The sequence below is a fragment of the Homo sapiens genome, chromosome Y, assembly GCF_000001405.40.
Source record: "Homo sapiens chromosome Y, GRCh38.p14 Primary Assembly".
NCBI classification, from domain to species: domain Eukaryota; kingdom Metazoa; phylum Chordata; class Mammalia; order Primates; family Hominidae; genus Homo; species Homo sapiens.
In genome coordinates, this window is record NC_000024.10 from 19,028,769 (window position 1) to 19,041,031 (window position 12,263).

At 38.1% G+C, this 12,263-nt stretch overlaps 1 long non-coding RNA gene across 8 annotated transcripts in view; it reads right to left on the reverse strand.

Moving 5' to 3' along the window:
• Positions 1 to 12,263, reverse strand: part of TTTY14 (testis expressed transcript, Y-linked 14) — a 205,047-nt gene that overhangs the window by 156,268 nt on the left and 36,516 nt on the right. The gene's annotated exons all lie outside the window — the stretch shown is intronic.

Below are 12,263 nucleotides of genomic sequence, written 5' to 3' on the forward strand. Positions count from 1 at the left end.
AGATAGTGCTGTTTCTTTCTAACGCTAAGAAAAAAACTAACACTAGAATAAAACTAACAAAAATGTGTAAGATCTCTACACAAAAAAACTATAAAATATTGAGAGAAATAAAACCTAAATAGAATATATTGAGTTCAGAAATTAGAATGTACATTACTGAAAGTAGGTCAAATGCTCATAAATTTGTCTATATATCCAAACCCAGTCAAAATCTTAGCTTCTTTTTTTTTTTTTGGTGGGAATTGACAAGGTACTCCTAATGTATACAAGGAAATGCAAAAGTCTTCTGATGAAATGTGAAGATTAACTCTATAACCTAATAAAACTAGATTAAAGTAGTCAAGAAAAGATAGGATTACACAAAGACAGATGGCTACACCAATGCAAAACTAGATGTCCAAAAGTAGGTCCACATATATATGGACACTATTTATGTAGTCTCCTTATTATCATTAAAGAGATAATCATCCTTTAAATCAATAGTGCTGAAAAAACTGAGTACTGTCAGGGAATGAGGGGAGATGATACCTGATCTTGACTTCAATATGAACACAAAACCTATTTAGAATTACAGTTCTAAATGTGAAAGAACACTAAAATGCCTAAAAGAAAAAAATCATCTTTCCTCATTGAATTGTCATCGCTCATCAAACATTACAAGAATAGTTTCATAACTTTTTGGTAGTGAAGGATTGCTTAATCAACACCACTATCATCAACAAAAATTTTCCTAAAAAACTAATCTTGAACGAAAAGATTAATAAAGCAGACTTTACTAAATTTAAGAATTTCTGTTTAACACAGCCTGCAGGAAAGAAGAGGAAGATATCTGCAACGCATATATAACTTAACAAAGAACTCCAATCCAGAATGCATAAAGGCCAAAAACTGATGAGAAGAAGGGATATCTTAGAAGAAAAATGCCAAGAAATTTTGACAGGCTTGTCACAAAAAATAAAGGCATATATGAAAGCATATGAAAAAGTACACAATGTTATTAGACTCTGTAGAAAGATGCATTAAAACCACTTCTACATATTTATCATAAATGCTAAGTTTAAAAGGCTGAAAATGCAAATGTTGGCAAAAAAGGCTGAAAATGCAAGTGAAGGCACTGCCTGACTGGAGTATAACTTAATATATCATTTGGCAAAATCATGTGAAGGGTTTACTAGAGCGGAACTGCATGACCCAAAACACAGCAGCTCCTGCAACAGGTAGATGTGTACACCAAGAGATATAGTCAAATATGACACAAAAGTATCATTCATACTAGATAAAACTTAGATGTAACCCAAATATCCATCAACAGTAAAATGGATAAAAGTCATACGGCATTACAAAATGGGTGGGTAACAACTACACAAAACATGGATGCATTTTCACAAATAGCATGGGGCTAAAAAGCACCCGCCCAAACACACTCCTACCTCAGTCAATTTTCTGGGCATTATTGTCAAAATTCAATTAACCATAAATTTCAGACTTTATTTATGGACTCTCCACTGTGAACTCAATGCTAGCTCTACAGTCTTGATTACTGTAAATCTGTATTAAATTTTCAAATGAAGTGTGAGTATTCAAAATTTGCCCATCTTTTTCAAAACTGTTTTGGCTATTCTGGGGCGCTTCAATGTCCATATGAATTTTAGAGGCAGTTTGTCAATTTCTGCAAAGACTTTAACTGGGATTTGAGAATGGTAACACTTAATCTATAGATCAATTTAGGGTACACGGCCTTTTGAACAACATATAATTTGAACTATGATCATGGACTGTCTTTCCATATACTTTGGTCTCTTTAATATGTTTCAGCAATATTTGGTAGTTTTTAAAATGCAAATTTTGCACTTATTTTGTTGAAATTTATTCATAATAGTTTTAGAGGCAGATTCCTGTTCTTTTACCCAGGTTGGAGTGTAGTAATGTGACCATGGCTCAATGCAGCCTTGAACTCCTGGGCCCAAGCAATCCTCCTGCCTCAGCTTCCTGAATAGCTAAGGACAACAGATGTATGCCACTGCATCTGGCTAATTCTTTAAATTCTTGGCTATGTTGTGCAGGCTGGTCTCAAATTCCTAGCTTTATGTGATCCTCTCACCTTGGCCTCCTAAAGTACCAGAATTATAGGTTCACATGAGCTACCATGCTCCGGCCTTAAAAGACCATTACTCTTTATGTCCTTATTCTCTCTTATTTTGTACAGAGCACTCATAAACAAACTAGGTAATTTCAAACAGTAATTGGATACTTTCTGTTGCTTCTTCCTTCACCTCAAGACTAAGGGCATCAGAAGGGCAAAGAGACCTGTATTTTCCTAACACCACATGCGCATGTGCATGCTATGGTGTAGAAACACAGCTGCTTCTCTGACTAGTTACTCATTTGGTATATCTGGACTTTATGAAATTGACACAGGTTTTCTGTATCAATATAAATTTATCTGTGATAAAGGTCCAAGGGTGCAACTACTGGGTAGTAGGATAGTTACACAGTTTTCTTTTTTTTTTTAAACTATCAAGAGATTTTCCAGAATAACTGTATTATTTGTATTTCCACCAGAAATGTACAAGTGATCCACTTAACATTGTTTACAACAACTGCTGTCACCATCCTTTCATTTTAGCTGTTCTGACATACACATACTGATATTTCAGTTTTAATTTGCATTTCCTGATGATTAATGAATGTTGAATTTATTTTCATGATTATTTTCTATCTGTAAATCTTTGCCAAAATGTCTCTTTAAGTCTTTTGCTCATTTTCTAATTTGAATTTTTTACTGTTAAATTTTATGAGTTTTTATATATCATAGATGAAAAATCTTTGTCAGTTATACAGTTTACAGATATTTTCTCCCAATCTATAGCTCGTGTTTCATTGTATTCACTTTTTTTTGCAAAGTAAACATTTTTACTTTTAATGAGGTACAGTGTATAAATTTTTTTATACATTGTTCTTTTGGTGTCAAGTCTAAGAAATATTTTCCTAACCCTAGATTCTAAATATTTTCTTCTTTTTTTCTAAAAGTTTTACATTTCACATTAAGTCCATGATCTTTACTCACCCATAAGTGCCCAGCCCCATTTGAAAAGGCTACCTTTTCTCTATTTAGTTGTTTTCGTACCTTTGTCTAATTTTGGGTTCTCTAAAATGTTTTATTAACCTTTGTCTCTATCATTCTTCCATACTATGTTGATTAATGTAGCTATGCAATATTCCTTAACATCAAGAAGTGTTTCCTCCCACTTACTTTCCTTGTCAAAGTTGGCTTATCTATTCTACTGCCTGTGTGTGACTTTTCACATTTGTTTTAGAATAAGATTACTTATGTCTTTTAAAAACCTGAGATATTGATAGGAATAGTATTCATCCTACAGAACAATTTTGAGAAAACTGGAATGTAGGATGTTCCAATCCAAATAGACAGTGGGTCTATTTACTTATGTATTCTTAGATTACTTTTATCAACAAATTCCAAGTTTCAGCATAAGTAAGGATTCATTTTCATAGGAATGACTGTAAGAGTACTGCATTTTTAATTTCTGTGCCCATATGTTCACTGTTAAATAAAAATGAGGTTAGTATTTATGCATTGATCCTACAACTTGACACTTTGCTGAACTCACTTACTAGTTATAGGATGTTTTCTATAGCTCCCTTAGGATTTTCAACACATACACAATTATGACACCTGCAAAATGAGACAATTTTACTAATTTTCTTTTTTTTTTTAAGACAGGGTCTTCCTCTGATGCCCAGGCTGGAGTGTGGTGGTGCAGTCTTGGCTCACTGAAACCTCCGTCTCCCAGGTTCAAGTGATTCTCCTGCCTCAGCCTCCCTGAGTAGCTGGGACTACAGGCGCATTCCAGCATGCCAGGCTACTAGGCCTTTTTATTTCTTTTCTAATATGTATGTTGTTTATTTTCTTCCCTTGCATTACAGTCTAGAACTGCCAACTGAATAAAAATAGTAACAGGAAACATCCTTGCCTTTTCCCCAATGTGACAGAGGAGGCATTCAATCTTACACCATTAAGAATGATGTTGGCTACAGGTTTTTTGTAGATTCTTTTTAAACAACCTATGGTTATTTCCCCTCTATGTGAACCTGCTCAAACTTTTTGTCATAAATGGGTGTTGGGTTTAGTTAAATGGTGTTCCTGCATCAACTGATTTGACTGTATGTATGTATGTGTGTATGTATGTATGATTTTTCTTTATTCTGTTGATAAGTTTGATTACATTGCTTGATTTTAGAATGCTGAACCAGATTTACATTCCTGGAGTAACCTGAACTGGGTTGTGATGTATTACTCTTCTTCATATACTGCTGTTATCAATTTGCAAATTTTTAAAAAGATTTTTGTGTCTACATTCATGAGGGGTATTGAGCTGTATTTTTTTTATTGTACTTTTTTTCTGGTGTTGAGATACAGATATTCCTAACCTCATATTGGGTTGTGTCCCATTCTCAATTATTTTCTGGAAACAACTGTGTGAAGTTGATGGTAAGTCTTTTTTAAAGGTTTTGAGGAATTCTCCAGTGAAAATATCTGCACCTAGACATTTCCTTCCTAGAGCTTTTCAATTACTAATTCAGCTTCTTTACTGGCTATAGGACTATTCATTTTGTCTATTCCATTTTGATTGAATTGTTATACTTTATAGTTTCAAAAGAATTTGTTCATTCCTTCTACTTATGAGTATACTTAATAGATATGCAAAGAGGCAAGAAGACAGGACCCATATGAGGAGAAAAAACCATTCAATCAAAACTGACTCACAAGTGTTATCACTAGCAGACACAGACATGAAAACAACTAAGAAAACTGTATACCCACGATCAGAAAGCTAAGAGACATGAAGAATACAAGGAAGATCCAAATCAAACTTCCAGACACAAATACAACAATGCTTGGAGTAAAAAATACAACAAATGGAATTAACAGTATGATATGCTTTGGCTGTATCTGCACCCAAATCTTATTTTGAATTGTGGTTCCCCAAATCCCCACATGTCCTGGGAAGGAAGAAAAAATATTCAAGTATTGGTAGGAAGTACTTAAATCATGGGGGCAGTTACACCATCATGTTCTCATGATAGTGAGTTCTCAGGAGATCTGATGGCTTTCTAAGGGTCTTTCCCCCTTTGGAGTAAAAAAGCACTTCTTGCTGACACCATGTGAAGAAGGATGTGTTTGTTTCCCCTTCCACCATGCTTGTAAGTTTCCTTAAGACTCCTCAGCCATATTGAACTGTGAGTGAATTAAATTTCTTGCCTTTATAAATTACCCAGTCTCGGGTGTGTTTTTATTAGCAGTGTGAGAACTAACACACAGTAGAACAGGCACTGTGGTAGGAAAGAATAGTAAATCTGAAGACACAGCAATAGAAATGCACAAAATACAATAGGAAAAAATAATTAAAAATAAAAATTTAAAAACATCATTGAATTGGGTGACAACCTCAAATGGTCTAACTATAACCGGAATCCTTGACACTGGAGAGAAAAGAAAAAATATTTGAAGAAATGAAGGCTAAACTTTTTCTATATTTAATGAAAATTATATCCTACAGATTCAAAATGTTAAATGAAACTCAAGCATAAGGAACATGAAGAAAATTACACACAGGCACATCATAACCAAATTGCTTAAAACCAGTAACAAAAAGAAAATCTTAAAAGCAGAGATAAAAGACAAGTAACCCTGAAAGAAACAACAAAACACTATTGAGAAAAAATTTAAAAGGGAGAATTATATCTCATATGAGTCAAATGATTCAATATAATTAAAGCGTCAGTTCTCTGCCAAATTGATTTACAGATTCAATGCAATTGCATTAAAAATTCCAGAAGCCGCAGGAGCCAAGATGGCCAAATAGGAACAGCTCCAGTCTACAGCTCCCAGCGTGAGCGATGCAGAAGACGAGTGATTTCTGCATTTCCATCTGAGGTACCGGGCTCATCTCACTAGGGAATGCCAGACAGTGGGCACAGGTCAGTGGGTGCACGCACCCTGAGCGAGCCGAAGCAGGGCGAGGCATTGCCTCACTCGGGAAGCGCAAGGGGTCAGGGAGTTCCTTTTCCGAGTAAAAGAAAGGGCTTACAGACAGCACCTGGAAAATCAGGTCACTCCCACCCGAATACTGCGCTTTTCCGACGGGCTTAAAAAACGGAGCACCACGAGATATATCCCACACCTGGCTCGGAGGGTCCTACGCCCACAGAGTCTCGCTGATTGCTAGCACAGCAGTCTGAGATCAAACTGCAAGGCTGCAGCCAGGCTGGGGGAGGGGCGCCCGCCATTGCCCAGGCTTGATTAGGTAAACTAAGCAGCTGGGAAGCTCGAACTGGGTGGAGCCCACCACAGCTCAAGGAGGCCTGCCTGCCTCTGTAGGCTCTACCTCTGGGGACAGGGCATAGACAAACAAAAAGACAGCAGTAACCTCTGCAGACTTAAATGTCCCTGTCTGACAGCTTTGAAGAGAGCAGTGGTTCTCCCAGTACGCAGCTGGAGATCTGAGAATGGGAAGACTGCCTCCTCAAGTAGGTCCCTGACCCCTGACCCCCGAGCAGCCTAACTGGGAGGCACCCCCCAGCAGGGGCACACTGACACCTCACACGGCTGGGTACTCCAACAGACCTGCAGCTGAGGGTCCTGTCTGTTAGAAGGAAAACTAACAAACAGGAAGGACATCCACACCAAAAACCCATCTGTACATCACCATCATCAAAGACCAAAAGAAGATAAAACCACAAAGATGGGGAAAAAACAGAACAGAAAAACTGGAAACTCTAAAAAGAAGAGTGCCTCTCCTCCTCCAAAGGAACGCAGTTCCTCACCAGCAACGGAACAAAGCTGGATGGAGAATGACTTTGACGAGCTGAGAGAAGAAGGCTTCAGACCATCAAATTACTCTGAGCTACGGGAGGACATTCAAACCAAAGGCAAAGAAGTTGAAAACTTTGAAAAAAATTTAGAAGAATGTATAACTAGAATAACCAATACAGAGAAGTGCTTAAAGGAGCTGATGGAGCTGAAAACCAAGGCTCGAAAACTATGTGAAGAATGCAGAAGCCTCAGGAGTCAATGCGATCAACTGGAAGAAAGGGTATCAGCGATGGAAGACGAAATGAATGAAATGAAGTGAGAAGGGAAGTTTAGAGAAAAAAGAATAAAAAGAAATGAACAAAGCCTCCAAGAAATATGGGACTATGTGAAAAGACCAAATCTACGTCTGATTGGTGTACCTGAAAGTGATGGGGAGAATGGAACCAAGTTGGAAAACACGCTGCAGGATATTATCCAGGAGAACTTCCCCAGTCTAGCAACGCAGACCAATGTTCAGATTCAGGAAATACAGAGAACACCACGAAGATACTCCTCAAGAAGAGCAACTCCAAGACACATAATTGTCAGATTCACCAAAGTTGAAATGAAGGAAAAAATGTTAAGGGCAGCCAGAGAGAAAGGTCAGGTTACCCTCAAAGGGAAGGCCATCAGACTAACAGCGGATCTCTCAGCAGAAACCCTACAAGCCAGAAGAGAGTGGGGGCCAATATTCAACATTCTTAAAGAAAAGAATTTTCAACCTAGAATTTCATATCCAGCCAAACTAAGCTTCATAAGCAAAGAAGAAATAAAATACTTTACAGACAAGCAAATGCTGAGAGATTTTGTCACCACCAGGCCTGCCCTAAAAGAGCTCCTGAAGGAAGCGCTAAACATGGAAAGGAACAACCGGTACCAGCTGCTGCAAAATCATGCCAAAATGTAAAGACCATCGCGACTAGGAAGAAACTGCATCAACTAACGAGCAAAATAACCAGCTAACATCATAATGACAGGATCAAATTCACACATAACAATATTAACTTTAAATGTAAATGGACTAAATGCTCCAATTAAAAGACACAGACTGGCAAATTGGATAAAGAGTCAAGACCCATCAGTGTGCTGTATTCAGGACACCCATCTCACGTGCAGAGACACACATAGGCTCAAAATAAAAGGATGGAGGAAGATCTACCAAAAAAATGAAAAACAAAAAAGGCAGGGGTTGCAATCCTAGTCTAATAAAACAGACTTTAAACCAACAAAGATCAAAAGAGACAAAGAAGGCCATTACATAATGGTAAAGGGATCAATTCAACAAGAAGAGCTAACTATCCTAAATATATATGCACCCAATACAGGAGCACCAAGATTCATAAAGCAAGTCCTGAGTGACCTACAAAGAGACTTAGACTCCCACACATTAATAATGGGAGACTTTAACACCCCACTGTCAACATTAGACAGATCAATGAGACAGAAAGTCAACAAGGATACCCAGGAATTAAACTCAGCTCTGCACCAAGTGGACCTAATAGACATCTACAGAACTCTGCACCCGAAATCAACAGAATATACATTTTTTTGAGCACCACACCACACCTATTCCAAAATTGACCACATACTTGGAAGTAAAGCTCTCCTCAGCAAATGTAAAAGAACAGAAATTATAACAAACTATCTCTCAGACCACAGTGCAATCAAACTAGAACTCGGGATTAAGAAACTCACTCTAAACCGCTCAACTACATGGAAACTGAACAACCTGCTCCTGAATGACTACTGGGTACATAACGAAATGAAGGCAGAAAAAAGATATTCTTTGAAACCAGCGAGAACAAACACACAACATACAAGAATCTCTCGGACACATTCAAAGCAGTGTGCAGAGGGAAATTTATAGCACTAAATGCCCACAAGAGAAAGCAGGAAAGATCCAAAATTGACACCCTAACATCACAATTAAAAGAACTAGAAAAGCAAGAGCAAACACATTCAAAAGCTAGCAGAAGGCAAGAAATATCTAAAATCAGAGCAGAACTGAAGGAAATAGAGACACAAAAAACCCTTCAAAAAATTAATGCATCCAGGAGCTGGTTTTTTGAAAGGATCATCAAAATTGATAGACCGCTAGCAAGACTAAGAAAGAAAAAAAGAGAGAAGAATCAAATAGACGCAATAAAAAATGATAAAGGGGATATCACCACCGATCCCACAGAAATACAAACTACCATCAGAGAATACTATAGAAACCTCTACACAAATAAACTAGAAAATCTAGAAGAAATGTATAAATTCCTCGACACATACGCTCTCCCAAGACTAAACCAGGAAGAAGTTGAATCTCTGAATAGACCAATAACAGGATCTGAAATTGTGGCAATAATCAATAGCTTACCAACCAAAAACAGTCCAGGACCAGATGGATTCACAGCCAAATTCTACCAGAGGTACAAGGAAGAACTGGTACCATTCCTTCTGAAACTATTCCAATCAATAGAAAAGAGGGAATCCTCCCTAACTCATTTTATGAGGCCAGCATCATCCTGATACCAAAGCCAGGCAGAGACACAACAAAAAAAGAGAATTTTAGACCAATATCCTTGATGAACATTGATGCAAAAATCCTCAATAAAATACTGGCAAAACGAATCCAGCAGCACATCAAAAAGCTGATCCACCATGATCAGGTGGGCTTCATCCCTGGGAGGCAAGGCTGGTTCAATATACGCAAATCAATAAAGGTAATCCAGCATATAAACAGAGCCAAAGACAAAAACCACATGATTATCTCAATAGATGCAGAAAAGGCCTTTGACGAAATTCAACAACCTAATGCTAGATGACGAGTTAGTGGGTGCAGCGCACCAGCATGGTGCATGTATACATATGTAACTAACCTGCACAATGTGCACATGTACCCTAAAAGTTAAAGTATAATTAAAAAAAAAAAATTCCAGAAGCCTTTTTTGTAGAAATTGGTAAGTTGATTGTAAAAGTCACAGAGAAATACAAAGGGCCTAGACTAGTAAAAACAGCACTGAAAATGAAGAACAAAGTTAGAGGGCTATAAATATATGATTTCAAAAATTATTACAAAGCAAAAGTAACCACAAAAGCATGATGTCCACCGGGTGCAGTGGCTCATGCCTGTAATCCCAGCACTTTGGGAGGCCAATGCAGGAATATCACCTGAGGTCAGGAATTACAGACCAGCCTGGCTAACCCCATCTCTACTAAAAACACAAAAATTAGCCAGTCATGGTGGTGGGCACCTGTATTCCCAGGTACTTGGGATGCTGAGGCAGAAGAATCACTTGGACCCAGGAGGCAGAGGTTGTAGTGAGCCGAGATTGTGCCATTGCACTCCAGCCAAGATTGACAGAGTGAGACTCTTGTCTCAAAAAAAAAAAAAATAAAAAATAAATAACATAACAGGAATACACGGAACATGGTATGAAAGCACTTTCAACTGGACGACTAATTCCTCTCAGGAGAAAACTCCACCCCCAGTACCAAAAAACACTCTACCCAAAGAAAAACTTCACACCCTCAGGCTGGGAAAAGTGGACCCAGTAAAAGCAAATTACTCCCTGTTTAAAAACTTGCTTAAACCTTTACAAAAAAACATTTCTTTTAACTTTTAATGTTGGTAAAAATCCACATTCTTAAGCCTCCTTATAAACCTTTTACCAAAGGTACTTTTTACTTTCCTTACACATCTTGCACATAAACTGTTTCTTCAATAGTTTTACATTCAGGAGGCCTAATACTTTTAAATTATACAACATTTCTTGCATAAATTCCATTTTACAACTTTTTTTCATGACTTTCACAGACAATTCTTCCACATGCCTCAACTTTCTGACTTGTTGCAAATATCCCTTTATTTAAACAACCAGTTATTTTAGGAAAATAACTTACCATATAGCATTCCGTTTTACATAAATTCTACCCCCCTTTTTTTTTCTCTCAAAGACGATAAACATTCTTTTCCAAAGTGAACCTCCTTCATGTCCACAGACATGGGGACTACACTGTCTAAGGACAGAAGATTAGAAGTTAAGTTAGCATGTTACACTGCTAACTTTTAGCAAATTTTACTTTTGTTGAAAACTTTGTACGTTTGGGATTTCAAGTATTCTTTGCTATTAGTAAGACCTGTTCAGTCCACATTAACTTAGAACTGGTATAGATGGCTCCTTCCTGATTCTGTAGGTACTTTAAGGCTTTGCTGAATGCAAACAGGTCGCACGTTTGAGCAGACCAATTAGAAGGCAATTTTCCTAACTCTGCTTCTACAGGAGTTTCAAACCCATTGTGTCTTTTTCCTTCAATCACCCGGGAGGAACCATCTATCCTTCTGTCCAGAAGGGAGTTCCTCCTAGGTATGGTCCGACCTTTGTGTGGTAATTAAGATTTAGATTCCCTGTTAAGAAACCTACTTGTCCAACCTTTGTGTGGTAATTAAGGTTTAGATCCCCTGTTAGGAAACCTACAGGGGTTAAGGGAATTTTCAGTGGTTAATGTTAAATCATCTTTTTCTAGCAGAATGGCCTCACACTTTAAGATTCTTGAGTCAGTAAGGACTACATTTTTGCCTTTTTTTTTTTTTTTAATTTAAGACAGTTCTGACCTGATAAGGTGGGCTCACAATGAGGCTTCCTCTAAAAGTTATTTTTCTACTTTCTTCCATTAGCAAAGCATTGGACACAATAGATTGAAGGTATTTGGACCATCCGCAGGTTACTGGGTTAAGAATTTTTATTAGGAAGGCTAGGGATTGTCAGTGGCCTCAGTGCTTTTGGGCTATGCCCTTGTTTACACTGACAACAAGGTGGTATTGTAGTGTTACAAGGTTCCTGAGAAGACCTTCAATTATTAATTATAGGTTTTTAATTTACCCTGGATTTTAAAGGAATAGGATACACTGTTTTCTCTTTACCACTATCTCTCTCTTTCTCTCTCTGATTCCGTTTGTCTGTCTCTCTCTGCTTCTTTTTCTCTTTGACTTTGTTTCTCTTTCTCTGCCTCTGCCAGCCGCTCATGCTGCTGTTCTCTCCTCTCCTTCCCCTTCCCCTTCCTCTAGAGGAGGGACCAGTGGGAGTGGAGCTACTCTTTCTTTCCCCAAGATGAAAGGAAAGGGGAGTTTTGAGTATTTTTCTTACCACCAGAGGTTTGTGTAAGGTTCAACCCCCTGAAATCTGCGGAAGGCTCAACCCCTCAAAGCAGGGGTGTCTCACTTTGCCTGCCCCAGAAGGCTCAACCCCTCAAACCAAGGATGTCTTGCCTTGCCTGCCTCGGAAGGCTCAACCACTCAAACCAGGTGATGGCTTGCCTTGCCTGTCCTGAAAGCCTCAAACCTTCAAACCAGGGATGTCTCACCTTGCCTGACCCCAAAGCCTCACCACCTCAAACCAGGGAT